A 17811-nucleotide genomic window follows, 5' to 3' on the forward strand; every position below is an offset into this window, starting at 1 on the left:
AGCCCTTCTGGCTCCACTCAGCCCCACAGCCACATACCTTGGGGTAGCACTGGCACATGCTCCAGATTATACCCCTGGACACCATGATGCTGCCACAGAAGGTTTCATTGGACTGGGGCCCATCATGGCTCAGGAGGAATGTACTGAGAGCCAGAAGACCCATACATTGAAGCTGAAGCGGAAGGTCTTCTCATCTGCCAAGGTCTCCTCACCTGCCATGGCTGCCAGCATGTGCACCTGTGCACCCCTGTGCACCCCTGCCAGAAGGGGCCCATGCCATCCAGCATAAACATCCAGACAGGCTCACAGGAAGAGATGAAGCTCTTGGATCACTGCAAATAAAGGCTTAAAGGTAAAGGGAGGGCAAGACCCCTTCAGCTCCAGGCCTATTCCCTGGACCCACCAGTTCAGCAGGGCTGGAGGCAGCATGCTTTGGTGGACCAGTGAACCCAATCCCCACCCTCTCTCCTTCCCTTGGGGCCCAGAAGGCCTGGAGTGCATGTGTGAATCTGGGTGAGGGAGCAGGCAAGGGAGGGACAAGGGGAGGTTACAGGGGCTGGGCCCCAGGCAGGCCTGTGACAAAACCTTCTTTGCCTACTTTGGGGCTGAACTGAGTAAGCAGCTGATCCCACACCTTCTAGGCCCGGGAAGCAGGGTACAATTCTGCAGCCAAAATATGTTAGAATGCTGCCAGAGGATTTCAGGATCCCAGTGCCAGGCATTTCAGGATCCTAGATTTTAGACCCTTCAAGGATATGTGTCCATCTGGGATTCAGGCATGATAGCCCATACGTACTGGATGGTGACGATGTGCATGGCACCATTCTAAGCATGTTACAGCTATTAACTCACTTAAGGGACTCCATGAGGCAGGTATTGCTATACCCACTATGCAGAGGGCACTGAGCACAGACAAGTAACTTGCCCGAGGTCACACAGCTGGAAATGGTAGAGAAGCTGGAACATGAACCTAGAAGCTGTGCCCCTGGCCACAGGGCAATCCTGCTTAACGGCAGCACGAGGTTATGGGTGAGAGCTCTGATGGCAAGGCAGGCTGCCTGGGTTTAGATCCTGGCTCCTGTACTGCGCGGCAGCATGGTCTTGATCACATTACCTGCCTGTGTCTGTTTCCTCCTCTGTAAAATGGGGATAATAACGGTACCTCCCAGCATTAGCGCTATCTCCAGGCCTAGGTGTCCTGGATCCTTCTGCCCCCTTTACACTCTGTGCAGCATCCAGGCCTGCTTGTAATGAGCTCGTCTACTCCCCCACCAAAGCTCTGGTGAATTAATGTCCCTGTGGGGTATAAGTGACTGACAGTAACTTCCTCAATCTCCTTGCAGCCTAATCTAAGAAGATGCCTTCTAAAGAATAGCATTCTAATGTGAAATTTTAGTCCTGTGAAAGGCTAATGGGAGAAATCAGATTCCAAGATTACAGAAAAAACAGGACGATGAGTATCTCTAAAAGAAAATGTTCACTTGTAGTATCGATGGGGTTAGGTGGCCGATACAGGATGAAAGGCTTTCATTTGGCTCCCTGACTTGCTGGGTTTGGGGATTTCCCTGGTCCTGGTCATTACCTCTTTCCTCCTGCCCAGCATGTGCTCACACCAGCCCCTCTGCCTCACAGTCCTTCCCACAGGCTCTTTTTCTTACATTTTTTTAGAGAAGGTAAGCTCAGAGGGACTTTTAATATGCCAATCGATGTTAATAAAATATAAGTCAAAGACAAGTGCAAACATGCTTTCAACCAACATTAATGAGGAAACGACACAAATTCTTTTTCTTTTTATAATTTATTTTATTTTTGAGATGGAATCTCGCTCTGTCACCCAAGCTGGAGTGCAGTGGCATGATCTCCACTCACCACAAGCTCCTCCTCCTGGGTTCACTTCATTCTCCTGCCTCAGACTCCTGAGTAGCTGGGACTACAGGCACCTACAACCACGCCCGGCAAATTTTTTGTATTATAGTAGAGATGGGGTTTCACCGTGTTAGCCAGGATGGTCTCGATCTCCTGACCTCGTGATATGCCCACCTCAGCCTCCCAAAGTGCTGGGATTATAGGTTGAGCCACTGGGCCTGGCCCTGTTTGTTCTTTTACATTAACTTTACAATGTATTTGCCATGTTTTAAAAATAAATTTAATTGGAATTTTATTGAAATTTTATGAGACATGATTTAGTCAAAGATGAAGACACAACATTATTATTACTGTTTCCATCTAGCTATGGCATATTTCTTTTTTTTCTCTAGTTGTCTTTTATATCACTCAATAAAATTTGTGGCTCTGGTACATTTCATAATAATCATACATTATATTTCATTATTTCTAATTATTATAATGGATCACATGTACATTTACTATGTACCACATATTATGAGATAATGAATATATTCATTATCTCAATTCATAAAACAATCATGTGATTTAGTTGGTGTTATTACTAGATTATTACCATTGTACAAGTAAAGAAAATAAAGACAAAAAAAAAAAAAGAAAAGAGACTCAGCAAAATCAAACCAATAAAGACTTAATCAGAATTGTTGGGCATATAATAAAAATTTAATACAACTCAATGAAATGAAAAAAAACATTTTAAAAAATGACCAGGCAGATTTGAGAAGGAGCCAAACAGAAGTTCCAGAAATAAAAACATAATTGTTGAAATTGAAGACAGATTTGACAGCAGCTTACATATAATTGAAAAGGAAAATGTAAACTGGAAGACAGGCTGAAGAAATTGCTCAGAATGAAGCCCAAAGAAGTAAAAAGTAAGAAAGAAACAAGAGACATGGAAGACAAGAATGATAAGATGTTACAACTAACAGGATTTCATAAGTAGAACAATAAACTGTTAGAAAGGTTTTGTAAAAAAGATAATAGCTTGGAATTTTCCCAAAGTGATGAAAAACTCCACCCTTCATATTCAGGAAGCTCAATTTAAAAGGGAAAAAAAAATCACCTAAATGTATCATCATAAAAATAACGGAACCCTGAAGAAAAGAATATATTGAAAACAAACAGAGAGAAAATTCACATTATCCATGAAAGAATATGGATTTAGACCAAGAGCTAATGTCTTAAAAATGGAAGCAAGGAGACAATGTACTAAGAAAAAATAATCACATACGAAATTAATATATCTTTTACTAAACAGGCCAAATATAAGACAATATTTAAGTCATAAAAACTAAACAAATACTGAATTTGCTAACTAAAAGACCTTCACTAAAGGAAATTCTAAGAGATGTTCTTCATTAGAAGGGTGTTCCCCTAGATGGAAGACTTGAATTGCGAGAAGAAATGGTGAGTACGTAAGAAGACAAATATGTGAGTAAATATAAATGAACATTGACTATACAACATGTAGTTTCCAGTGGATTAAGAATAAGATGAGAAGCAAAACCATAAAACTTCTAAAGATAATATAGTAAGACTACCTTAATAGTCCCAGTGGGTTTTCATATAAAACCTAAACAAATTCTGTTCACCAAAAAAACACTATCAGGATCAAAGACCCAAATATAAGGGGTAAAACTATAAAATTTGTAGAAGAAAACATAGGTATAAATCTGTGACCGTGAATTAGTCAATGGGTCTTAGATACAACACCAAATGCAAGAGTGACAAAAGGAAAAAACAAACTGGACTTTAACAAAATTCAAAACTTTTGTACATCAAAGGATACCATCAGGAAAGTGAAAAGAACCCACAGAATGAGAGAAAATATCTATTAAGTCATACATCTGATGAGGAACTAATGTCCAGAATATATAAAGAATTCTTAGAATAACAAAAAGACAACCCAATTAAATGAGCAAACAGTCTAAATGAACATTTCTCTAAAAAGATATACAAATGGCCAATCAGCACACGAAAGGATGCTCAACATCATTAGTCATTAAGGATATGCAAGTGAAAACTACAACTAGATACAACTTCACATCTACAAGGATGGCTATATTTTTTTAAAAAACAAAAATAACAGATGTTGGCAAGGAGGTAGGAAAAAATGGAACCTCCATAAACTGCTGGTAATAATATAAAATGGTACAGAGACTTTGGAAAACAGTTTTGAAGTTTTTCAAAAATTTAAACATAGATTTACCATAGGTCCACTCCTAGATATATAAAGAAAATTGTAAAAATACGTCCAGACAAAAATGATTACATGAATCTCATCACAGTACATTATTAATCATAGTAAAAAAATGAACACAACTCAAATATCCATCAACTAATGAATGGATAAACAAAACATAGTATACTCATGCAATGGGATTCAGGCATATAAAGCAATGAAGTGCTGACACAAGATACAACATGGATGAATCAGGACAACATGCTAAATAAATGAAGCCAAACACAAAAGGTCACATATGATTCTGCTTTTTCTGATATTTGGCATATGCTAGTCCATAGAGACAGAGAATAGACTAGTGGTTGCCAGGGGCTGGGGAAAGGGGGAAATGGGGAGTAACTGCTAGTAAGTATGGAGTTTCTTTTTGAAATGATAAACATGTTCTAGAGTTAGAGAGTGGTGATAGCTGTACAACTGTATGAATACATTAAAAGCACTTAAAGCGCCTGCAGTCCCAGCTACTCGGGAGGCTGTTGCAGGAGAATCGCTTGAACCTGGGAGGCAGAGGTTGCAGTGAGCCAAGGTCACACCACTGCACTCCAGCCTGGGTGACACAGTGAGACTCCAATTCCAGAAAAAAAAATGCACTTAGTGTACACTTAAGAGTGGATACTGGGCTAAAAGTGAAGTGACAGGCCTCAAACTAGGCAAATCTTCTATACACATATCTGACAAGGGACTTCAGGAAATCTTAAAAGTTTCAATGATGAAATAGGAGACTATAGACAAAAGACTTGAACAATGCATATAAGGAACCCAAATAACCCACAAATAAATGAAAATAAGCTCAGCCTCCTTTCAAACCACAGAAGACTATTTCATATTCAACTGAAAAAAATGATATCAAGTAAAGGCAAGAATGTGCACAAACCAGTACCCACATAAGCTGCCAGTGGGAATGTAAAATGGTGTTACTTCTTAGCAAATTTGGTATCATCTATTAAATAGTTCACTGTGCATAATCTTGGGGCCAAGCACTGCCATTACTGGGCACATGCAACGGAAAATCTCTACATGTGAACCAAAAACCAGCACCATCGTTTGTATGGATTATAAAAAAAATCAAAAATAGAATGGACAAACAAATTTCACTCTCTACAATCATATAATCAGACAGTGCAGCAAGGAAAATGAATGAATGTAAGAAAACCACAATGGTAGCAAAAAACAGCAAGTCAGAATATATAAGGAATGATTCCTTTTATGTAAAGTTTCAAAATATGGAAAACTCAAAAATATCTTCTGTAGGGAGAAAAACATACATTCTTAGAATATATTAGACGAAGACTTTTACTTGTTTCTTTTTCAGTTTAAGGATCTGCTGTTCTACTTTTGCAATTTCTCGATCTACACGATCCATACACTCTATTAACTCTTCCTTTGAAAGTTTTGAAGGTGAAGCATTTTGATCATCTCCACACGGTTGCCCCAGAATTGGAGAGGATGGAGCTTCATGTTTGCCTCCAAATGCTGGATCCTTTAGAGAATAAAACCAAGAAAAACAATTCATTTCTCACTAATAGAGTCCAGATTGCCTTAAATGAAAAAGTCAGTTTTAAACCACAGCAGAGCCATGTGTACTATGTGTCTAATGAAACCTTTAGTAGTAACTTTCATATTTACATATATGCAAATTCTCACCTCACTTTTATAGTTTAGATATACCCTGTACTATTTTGAAGAGCCTAAAAGCTATACAAAGTCAGGTGAGTTAGTGTTGATCAGCCTCTAGTGTAACAATACTGAAATTATAGAGAATTTATAGGTAAATAATGCAATCATGACAAAGGAAGATACCAACTTCTCAGCCATTTCCTTGCAATGGCTCTTCAAATGGTCTGAACAACTAGCTGGGAAAGAGTATTATTCCAGGTAAAACTTGTGTGTCCACCCAACTTAACAACTGTAACATGGCCAAGTGTTCCTATCAAAAGTTTTCAGGCTTTCCAAACCAAAAGTGAGGTACACAAGTCAGAGAAGTGACCTGGGAACTTCAGCTGCTACTATCTCTGGGCCTACTTTCATAAAGCCCACACTACAGCATACGTAACATTTCCTTAGCCAAAAACATCCCATTGCACCTCCAAATCAGCAGAGCTGTAGCAGAATGAAAGCCCCTTCACCCAAAATCCACTACCCTCCAACACACATCCACACACACCCTATTAATTTCCAGTCTGCTGTAAAGATATAAGCAATATTATGAAACAGATAAATTTTAGAGTACTAATTTTATTTAGACTATGAGAAACCTACAATGAGGGTGGTTCACAGGATTACAGAACCCTAAAATGTATTAAATAATGATTAAGGAACTGTGAAAAGTCAATAGTTCTGAGCCAAGAATGCATACAGGAGATAACTGGACAGTTGCTTCAAAACACTTTAGTACAGATATTTCAGCTAGTATACATTGATGAAAAGCCTCATATTCTCTAATAGTATGCACTGAATCTAAGAGGCCTTCTGGGAAAATAAATTATGGCTATACCCTAAAACCTGAAAAATTCTGTGAGGAAAGCACCAATAAAAGCAATAACAATTCTAATAAACTTAATAGAGTTAAAGCTCCAGTATCCTTTGCATCTGGCATACAGTCAATCTTTGGCAGCTTTAAGCCCTACAGTTTATGTCCCTCTCTTAAGATGTAAATCCGTGAGGTCATTGGCTTCCAAAGTAAACCAGTACGTTTCATCTAAATAAAATATCAGTGGCCGGGCATGGTGGCTCATGCATGTAATCCCAGCACTTTGGGATGCCAAGGTGGGCAGATCACAAGGTCAGGAGTTCAAGACCAGCCTGACCAACATGGTGAAACCCCATCTCTACTAAAAAATACAAAAATTAGCTGGGTGTGGTGGTGGGCACCTGTAGTCCCAGCTACTCGGGAGGCTGAGGCAGGAGAGTGGCTTGAACCCAGGAGGGAGAGGTTGCAGTGAGCTGAGATTGCACTACTGCACTCCAGCATGGGTGACAGAGCGAGACTCCATCTCAGAAAAAAAAAGAAAAAAAAAGTCAGATTTGGCATATAACCATCTTTATCAACCTCTTTTTCTCCCCCTCCCTCCTTTATCAACGTTAAAAAACATACAAGAAAATTTGTCTTCACATTGTCTTTTCAGTGCTCGAATCTTCACTAACACTATGAAAAGCACAACAGTTCCTAAATTCACTAAGTCAGTTACTACTTGCAGTAAATGAAAACTAAATGCAGAATGTTCAAATATTTTTAAGTCTTCATGTGTTGTGAAGCCTTTTTCTTTCATTATGAGACAGCGTACTTCTGAGAACTTAGAAATGTTAATGCATAAAGAAAGATCTTTGGTGAACCACCAGGACTTTCATGATACATTAATTTCATTCTCCCACTATATGCATATGAGTAAATTTGTGTTACAGAAACATATATAATAGCAAAAGAGATTACATTTTGATTCAGCAGACTTCAAAAGTGCTCCTCAGGTGATTCTGATGCATGCCCAAAGAATTAATATTACAAATGAATATTTTCCACTGAATTCCTTTCTAAATATTAATTATTTAATAAGAAACCAAATCCTCAAGTGCCTACTTATATAACAGGAATAGGGTGGTGGATCAAAACAGACAAGATATCTGCCTTCATGAAGCTTACAATCTTGGGTTGAAACAGCCAGATACCAATCCTGAAGAAAAAGAATTAGATTCTTACCTCATATCTTACATAAAAAAAAGCCAAGTAACAGCAAACATTTATAAGAGGCTTATTAGCAAATCACAAAAAGCCTCAAGTTAAAAAAAAAAAGAATACATTATCTTGGGTTCAGGAAGGCCAAAAGCAAAAGATATAAAAGACATTAGTTTTCAAAAATGAAAAATTGATGGATAAAATAAAAAACAGTCTTCTGCTCAGCACAATGGCTCACACCTGTAATCCCAGCATTTTGGGAGGCTGAGGCAGGCAGATCACTTGAGGTGAGGAGTTCGAGACCAGCCTGGCCAACATGGTAAAACCCCATCTCTACTAAAAATACAAAAATCAGCCAGGTGTGTTGGTGTGAGCCTGTAATCTCAGCTACTTGGGAGGCTGAGGCAGGAGAATGGCTTGAACCCGGGAGGCGGAGATTGCAGTGAGCAGAGATGGCACCATTGCACTCCAACCTGGGCGACAGAGGAAGACTCCATCTCGAAAACAAAACAAAACAAAACAAAACAAAAAAACCCACACATGCAAAAACACAATCTTCTGCTTATCAAAACAGTAATAACAAATTAAAAAGGCAAATGATTAAATAGGAAAACCATTGCAAAACATGTACTCTAACAACTCAATATAAAATAAACCAACAGAAAAATGGGAAACATATATGAAAAAATAATTTACAAAACAAGAAAAATAACCAATAAACAAAAAAATGTTAAATTTTACTAACAAATAAGTATAAGTTAAAAACAATCATCAAATTAACAATCTTTTTGTTAAACAATAAGCGTGGTGTCAGCAAGGATACAGAAGGAGTGGGTACCTTTATTTATTTTTATTTTTGTTTTTTATTTTTTGAGACAAAGTCTCACTCTTGTCCCCCAGGCTGGAGTGCAATGGCGCAATCTCTGCTCACTGCAACCTCCACCTCCCGGGTTCAAGAGATTCTCTTGCCTCAGCCTCCTGAGAGTAGCTAGGATTACAGGCGCCTGCCACCATGCCCGGCTAATTTTTGTATTTTTAGTAGAGATGGGGTTTCACCATGTTGGCCAGGCTGGTCTCGAACTCCTGACCTCTGGTGATCTGCCTGCCTCGGCCTCCCAAAGTGCTGGGATTACAGGCATGAAATAAATAAATAAATAACTATATTTAAATAAAGTTATATAAATAACTTTAAACAGTGAACTTTATTTATTCATATGTGGAATTCTAAGTAGCCACTAACAATACAGTTGTAAACTTATTGGCACAAAAAGAAGCTAAGCACGTATTTAAGCAAAAGTAAAGTTAAACAGAATGTACAAAGTGAGCACATTAAAGTATTCATACGGGCTGACTCTGGACACACTGCCTAGGGGTTAGCCCTGTTCCACAAGGAGCAGCAGAAAAAAAAAAAAAAAAAACCATAAATTTAAATTAAATTCAATTTAAATTTAAATCATACACACACAAATAGGGAAGAATCAACATGAAAATGTTCATAACTTTTAAGTGGTAAAACTGTAGGTAATTTTTTTCTTTCAAGCTTATTTAACTCTTCTATAAATGATATACCTAAGCTTAACATTAAAAAAAAAATCTAACAAATGTTAGTTCTTTTTAAATCCTTACTTCTGGAGGTGGGCAGTTGGGAGAGAATGGGGAGAGGGAGATGGAAAGAGAAGTATTAGTTAGTAGTAGTAGTCATGGTTTACACTTTAGAGGAAAAAAAGCAGGACTAGAGTCAGGGGTCCTGGGTTAATTCCAACTCGGGAGGTACTATCTAGGTCACTTAATTTTTCTGAACATCCAGTTTCTCAACTATAACATGGAAATGCATCACACTACAACACAACACGTCTCATTTTAATGAATGAGTTTTTAAGACACTTTTCTGCTAAAAAACGAAATTCTATAAATTACATTTGTGGTAATGTATTCAGCCATGGAAGATGACCTTTATTCACTATATTTTTAAATTTCTTTTTTTTAATGCAGCAGAACATTTCTTATAAACCCCACAGACTACTGTATGATAAAAGATATTTCACATGATAAGGTGGGTCACAAAACACCTAGAAGCTTAGCTAATTTCTAGCTTACGGCAAAGAATTTTTCCCCATCCAACTTACTATTCCAAAAAATTTCAAATTCACTTAAAAGTTGAAGGAACAGTATAGTGGACACTCATTTATCCTTCATCTGGATTCACCAGTAGTTAACATTTTAACATATTTGCTTTCTGTGTGTGTTTGTGTATGTGTATAAAACTTCATTTTGGCTGAACTATTTGAAAATAAATTGTAGATACATTTATTATCTTTTAAATTACTCTTCATTGCCTGAAAACTCAAAGAAAATGTGGGGGTACTTATTTATTTGATATCAGGGAAGAAAGGGCAATTAGGCATAAAGGTTAATAAACATTATAGAAAAAAGATTTGATGGCAGTAAAAACATTTTAAACTTCAGTATGCTTAAAAAAAAAGAAAAATTGAAACAAAAAGACACTGGGAAAAATATTAGAATATGTTAGGCAGGCAGATCACTTGAGGCCAGGAATTCGAGACCAGCCTGGCCAACAGAGTGAAAACTTGTCCCCACTAAAAATCCAAAAAATTAGCTGGGGCCGGGCATAGTGGCTCACGCCTGTAATCCCAGCACTTTGGGAGGCTGAGGCGGATGGATCACCTGAGGTCAGGAGTTTGAGACCAGCCTGACCAACATGGAGAAACCCCGTCTCTACTAAAAATACAAAATTAGCCGGGCATGGTGGCACATGTGTGCAATCCCAGCTACTTGTGAGGCTGAGGCGGGAGATTCACTTGAACCCGAGAGGCAGAGGTTGTGGTGAGCCAAGATCGCATCACTGCACTCCAGCCTGGGCAACAAGAGTGAAACTCCGTCTTAAAAAAAAAAAAATTAGCTGGGCATGGTAGTGCATGCCTGCAGCCCCAGCTACTCAGGTGGCTGAGGCATGAGAATTGCTTGAACCCAGGAGGTGGAGGTTGCAGCGGGCCGAGATTGTATCACTGCTCTCCAGCCTGAATGACAGAGAAAGAATGCCTCAAAAAAACAAGTAGCCACAGGGGGGAAAATGTGTTTTATATATTAATGAACAAAAATTAAGAATGACCACAGGCTTCTAGTCAGAAACCATACAAGCCAGAATACAATGATATGACATCTCTTAAAATACTGAAACTGTCAACTTAGAATTCTATATCTAGTGAAAATAGTCTTCAGAAATAAAAACATTTTCAGGCAAATAAAAGCTGAGAGAATTAATTGCCAAAAGACCTAAACTGAGAGAAATGAAGTGCTTCAGGCAAAAACACAATAATATCAGAAGAAAACCTGAATACAAAAAAGAATGAAGGATGTCAGAAATGATATATACACAGGCAACTAGAGAAGGAAAAAAACAATAAAGAGTAGAAATCAGTGAATTAGAAAAATAGTGAAAATGATTGAAACCAAAGCTAGTTCTTCAAAAATCTATTAAACTGATAAACCTCTAGGCGGACTGATTAAAAAATAATAATAAAAATTATCAACATGAGGAACAACATCGCAACATATCTCAAAGGCACTGAAATTATGAGGAAATATTGTGACAAATTATTTCAATAAATCTGATACCTTAAACAACAAAATATACCCAAACTGACTCAAGAAAAAATTGAGTGTCTCAATTATAACTATTAAAGAAATTGAGTTCATATTTAAATTCTTCCCACACAAAAAAATTCTGGGCCCAACAGTTTCACTGATGAATTCTATCAAATATCTAAGGATGAAAAAATATCAATCCCAGCCACACGTGGTGGGTTCACACCTGAAATCCCAGCACTTTGGGAGGCTGAGGCTGGTAGATCACCTAAGGTCAGGAGTTCGAGACCAGCCTGGCCAACATGGCGAAACCCTGCTAAAAATACAAAAAATTAGCCAGGCATGGTGGCGGGTGCTTGTAATCCCAGCTACTTGGGAGGCTGAAGCAGGATAATTGCTTGAACCAGGAAGAGGAGGTTGCAGTGAGCTGAGATCACGGAATTGCCCACTCTAGCCTGGGTGACAGAGCAAGACTCAAAGAAAGAAAGAGGAGAAAGAGGAGAGAGAGAGAGAGAGAAAGAAAGGAAGAAAGAAAAAGAAAAACAAAGAAAGAAAGAGAAGAAAGAAAAAAAGAAGAAAGAAAGAAAGAAAAAGAAAGAAAGAAAGAAAGAAAGAAAGAAAAAGCAAGAAAGAGGCCAGGCGCAGTGGCTCATGCTTATAATCCCAACACTTTGGGAGGCTGAGGTGGGAGGATCACTTGAGTTCAGAAGTTTGAGACCAGCCTGGCCAACATGGTGAAACCCCATCTCTACCAAAAAATACAAAAATTAGCCAGGTGTGGTGGCACTCATCTGTAATCCCAACTACTCAGGAGGCTGAGGCAGTAGAATCACTTGAACCTGGGAGATGGAGGTTGCAGTGAGCCGAGATCGCACCACTGCACTCCAGCCTGGATGACAGAGCAAGACTCCATCTCAAAGAAAAGTACCAATCCTACACAAACCCCTTAAGAAAACACAGGAGTAAAGAGCACTCTCCAAGCTAACATCATTCTTAATGCAGAAAGACTGAAACTCAATGCTTACCACACCACATATAAAATTTTAATTCAAAATAGGTAATTTACCTAAATGAAAGCCCTATAATTATAAAACTTAGAGAAGAAAACATAAGTGAAAATTGGTCGGGCGCGATGGCTCACACCTGTAATCCCAGCACTTTGGGAGGCTGAGGCGGGTGGATCACGAGGTCAGGAGATTAAGACCACCCTGACTAACAGGGTGAAACCTCATCTCTACTAAAGATACAAAAAAAATTAGCTGGGCATGGTGGTGGGCCCCTGTAGTCCCAACTACTAGGTATGCTGAGGCAGAAGAATGGTGTGAACCCGGGAGGTGGAGCTTGCAGTGAGCTGAGATTGCACCACTACACTCCAGCCTGGGCAACATAGTAAGGCTTCATCTCAAAAAAAACAAAAACAAAAACAAAAACAAAACACAAGAAAAATAGAAAAAAAGAAAACGTAAGTGAAAATCTTAGTGACCTTGAATTTGGCAAAAACGTCTTAGGTTTGACGCAAAAAGCACAAAAAATGAACAATAAAAATAATACATTGGGACTGGGTGCAGTGGCTCACACCTGTAATCCCAGCACTTTGGAAGGCCGAGGAGGGCGGATCACCTGAGGTCAGGAGTTCGAGACCAGCCTGGCCAACATGGTGAAACTCCATCTCTACTAAAAATACAAAAATTACCTGGGCATGGTGGCACAAGCCTGTAATTCCAGCTACTCAGGAGGCTGAGGCAGGAGAGTTGCTTCAACCTGGGAGTCAGAGGTTGCAGTGAGCTGAGATGGTACCATAGCACTCCAGCCTGGGCAACAGAGCAAGACTCTGTCTCAAAAAAAAAGTACATCGGACTTGATAAAAATAAAAAATGTACGCTCTCCAAAGGATACTGTTAAGAAAATGAGGCAATACTTTTTTTTTTTTTGGGAAAAGTGGCTTAATTTCTTTTTTTTTAACTTATTATTATTATACTTTAAGTTTTAGGGTACATGTGCACAATGTGCAGGTTAGTTACATATGTATACATGTGTCATGCTGGTGCGCTGCATCCACTAACTCGTCATCTAGCATTAGGTATATCTCCCAGTGCTATCCCTCCCCACTCCCCACACACCACAACAGTCCCCAGAGTGTGATGTTCCCCTTCCTGTGTCCATGTGTTCTCATTGTTCAATTCCCACCTATGAGTGAGAATATGCGGTGTTTGGTTTTTTGTTCTTGGGATAGTTTACTGAGAATGATGATTTCCAATTTCATCCATGTCCCTACAAAGGACATGAACTCATCATTTTTTATGGCTGCATAGTATTCCATGGTGTATATGTGCCACATTTTCTTAATCCAGTCTATCATTGTTGGACATTTGGGTTGATTCCAACTCTTTGCTATTGTGAATAATGCCGCAATAAACATACATGTGCATGTGCCTTTATAGCAGCATGATTTATAGTCCTTTGGGTATATACCCAGTAATGGGATGGCTGGGTCAAATGGTATTTCTAGTTCTAGATCCCTGAGGAATTGCCACACTGACTTCCACAATGGTTAAACTAGTTTACAGTCCCTCCAACAGTGTAAAAGTGTCCCTATTTCTCCACATCCTCTCCAGCACCTGTTGTTTCCTGACTTTTTAATGATTGCCATTCTAACTGGTGTGAGATGGTATCTCATTGTGGTTTTGATCTGCGTTTCTCCTAATAATCTAGATACAACAAATATATAGATATATGTTTTCTAAGTAATTTTACCTATAATAATCAAAAACTGGAAAAGTTGACCGGATAAACCAATTGTGGTATACCCATACTCAACAATAAAAAGGAATGAACTGGGACATTCCAGACATGGATAGATAGCAGAAGTATTATGGGAAGCAAAAAAGGTCATAGACAAAAGAGTTCCCATGAAGCTCAGAACGTATACAATGATTTATGATAGAAAGCAGATCAGTGGTTTCCTAGGAGCTGAGGTTAGTAGGAAGTGGGGGAGGAGGACTGACATGGGTGGGTGTCAAGGAGAATGGGGTGCCAAGGAATGTGCTGGAGTGTTAGAAATGTTGTTCATCTTCATTTTGGTGATGGTTCTATGAGTTTATGAATTTGTCAAAATTTGTTACAATGTACACATATAATGAGTGCATTCTAATATAGATATATGTGTATATATATAAACTAAACTGCAAAGTTAATTTTGTTTTTTTAAGATGGGGTTTCACTCTTGTTGCCCAGGCTGGAGTACACTGGCACGACTTTGGCTCACTGCAACCTCTGCTTCCCGGGTTCAAGCGATTCTCCAGCCTCAGCCTCCCAAGTAGCTGGGATTACAGGTGTCTGCCATGATGCCTGGCTAATTTTTTTGTATTTTTAGTAGAGATGGGGTTTCACTATGTTGGACAGGCTGGTCTCAAACTCCTGACCTCAAGTGATCCACCTGCCTCAGCCTCCCAAAGTGCTGGGATTACAGGCGTGAGCCACTGCGCCCAGCCTGATTTTATGAAAAAAACAGCAGCAACAATAATCCGGAAAATTGGTAATCAGATGAGTAACACCAGGGTAGGGGGACAACACAAGCAAAAATCAACACCCAATCATGACAGAAATTCTCAAACTAGGAACAGAAAACAACCTCTTCAACCAAAAAAGGCATCAACAAAAACGTGCAACTAACATTACACGTAATGGTAAAAGACTAAATGCCTCCCTACACAGGAACAACAAGAATGTCCATTCTAACTCTGTAATCATGACTACACTTCAAAGGAGTCCTCAGTAGGACCCCGTAGTACATTTTGATGACAAATCTGCTTTCTTAGTCTCTGAGATGACCGTTTTATCCCATCCTTTCCTATTTTTCTTTAAACCTCTTACACCCATATCCTTGGTCTACTCTGAGATGATTATTTCACCTCATACTTTATTTTTCACAAGGTAAATCAATCTCTTACAAACTCTTCCTATGATAAAGTCTTCCTTCCTATCTACCATCCCTTCCTTCCTACCTACTATGCAAATCTTCCTACCATCAATCTCTCAAGAAGACAGAGGTCTATCCTGGCCATCACTCAAGACATGCCAAGTTATCTGGCCAGCTTAAAACTCAACCACAACTTGGGAGTATAAATATAGGTCTTACCCTAGAAATTCTAGAGAATTGATAAGTTTTCCATTTATCATCAACTCCTTTCATCAAAAGCAAAGACAAGTTCAACTCCTCAAATTGGCATAAAGCCACAGTAGGAAGACAGAAATAATTAATTCCCAACCTTTGGTTCCTCATCTTTGTAAATAGCTCTTGCCATTTAAAAAAAAGGTAAATTTGGTGGTTTCTACCAACATGTGTATTAAATAGGAAAAGTAAAGAAAAACACAAAAAACATGTGCAATTTGCATAGTATTTGTTCCTTACCTGCTGGTGGTGGGTGCTGGGAAACGTATACTTTACAGAGTGAGGAGGATAATGACTTTGTTCTGTGCTGAATGCTCCTTGGTTGGGAGGGTAACCTGAACTTGACATTATCAGTAAAGAAGTCCTCACCAGACTGTGAGATCAATGCCAATAAACAATCATGTTTCTAGGAAAACATCTAAACAGGATGGGAAAAAAATAGAATTAATAAGAACTAAAACACCAAGTGTACTTCTAATAAATTATAACTATAGCTACATAAATAAAACCACAATTACCAGTAAAAGCTTCCTCTCAAGTATTTACTTAATAAAAGTTACCAAGGTTTGAAAACATTAATGTGTCATTTTTTATATTTAAAATAGGTTAATATGTGACAAATAATATAATTAGCTATATAAAGTAAAAACAGTATATAAAAACAGCATAATATCTGGCACATAGTAACTGCTCAGTAAATACCTTTCTACAAATGTCTGAGGAATATAAAGACAAAAATACATGGTTTTAAATTTGGGAGTTGATAAGTCAATTGTGAAAAGAATTCAAGAGTAGTTTTAAGGTAAGCATTTGTGCAGAGGAAGTATTGTCTTTATTAAATAATTCTGAAGCAAGGATGATAAAATACTAAGTTTTGTAATCACAGATGGTAGGTAGATGGACATTTGTTATGTTACTCTTTGCATGCTTCTATGGAACTGAAATAGCAGATAAAGAAAAAGAAGGCCAGAAGCGGTGGCTCCTCCTGTAATCCCAGCACTCTAGGAGGCTGAGGCAGGCGGATCACTTGAGGTCAGGGGTTCGAGACCAGCCTGGCCAACATGGTGAAACTTCTTTTCTACTAAAAATACAAAAATTAGCCAGGCATGGTGACATGCACCTGTAATCCCAGCTACTTGGGAGGCTGAGACAGGAGAATCGCTGGAGCCTGGGAGGCGGAGTTTGCCGTGAGCTGAGATCATGCCATTGCACACCAGCCAGAGCAACAGAGTGAGACTCCATCTCAAAAAAGAAAAAGAAAACAAAGAAAAATAAAGCCATCTTCATTATAAAGTATATTCCTACTTGTCCACTATTCTAGATTAATTTGATTTGTCTGTCTTTTCTTGTGCCAATGCCACACTTTTCAAATTACTCTAGTATTACGAGGTTTCATATCCAGCAGGGCAAGTTTCACCTCACTGTGCTTTGTTGTTGCTGCTACTTTCACCACCTTCCCAGCTATTCTAGCACATTTTCTCTTACACACAAGCATCAGAGTCAGCTTGTCAGGTCCCAGAGAAATTCTGGATGAGAACACATAAATATTGAATTCACAGACTGACTAATGGGAGAACAGGTACCCTTATACGTCTGAGTACTCCAATCTTAAAACATGATTATCTATGTTTATGTTTCAGGATAACACAAATATTTATGTTATACATAATTAATATGGGAATATTTTACATACATGTGGTAGAGAATATTACACATATATAAAAATGTGTGCAATAATATATAATTTCTATCTTAATTATATATAAAACTCCCAAGACAAAAATTTTATATACACATATACACATGTGCATGTGTGCACATACACTCTTACTTTAAGACCAGAGTTCTATTATTACCTAATTGGGTGGTTTTAAAAAATAGAATTTAAATATAAGATGAAAATTATATAATTGTATACATAAAAATATAACAGATATAATTTTATTTACATAAAATCTCCACCCATTTAATACTTTATTAGTAAAGTTTTAATTTTCTTTCCATCATTTCAAGGTATTTGGGAAGAGGGCAAATTCAAAAAATAATTCAGTATGACAAATTGATCAATTTCCCAGTTTTTATCAATATATTCTTTATCCAGTTAGGTTTAGAAAACAAAATTTTCTAAGGAATTGTCTTTCAATCTAACTTTAAAACAAAACTTATAGGCTGGCCACAGTGGCTCACACCTGTAATCCCAGCACTTTGGGAAGTCAAGAT

At 38.2% G+C, this 17811-nt stretch overlaps 1 pseudogene across 1 annotated transcript; it reads right to left on the minus strand.

Moving 5' to 3' along the window:
• Window positions 1-5368: 5368 nt before the first annotated feature.
• NCOR1P1 (NCOR1 pseudogene 1) lies at window positions 5369-15994 on the minus strand (annotated as a pseudogene). The gene is made up of 2 exons (NR_003678.1): window positions 15832-15994; window positions 5369-5624 (listed from the first exon to the last, which is right to left on the minus strand). The product of NR_003678.1 is annotated as an NCOR1 pseudogene 1 (transcript).
• Window positions 15995-17811: the final 1817 nt, after the last annotated feature.

This window comes from Homo sapiens, chromosome 20, assembly GCF_000001405.40.
Source record: "Homo sapiens chromosome 20, GRCh38.p14 Primary Assembly".
Lineage (NCBI taxonomy): Eukaryota > Metazoa > Chordata > Mammalia > Primates > Hominidae > Homo > Homo sapiens.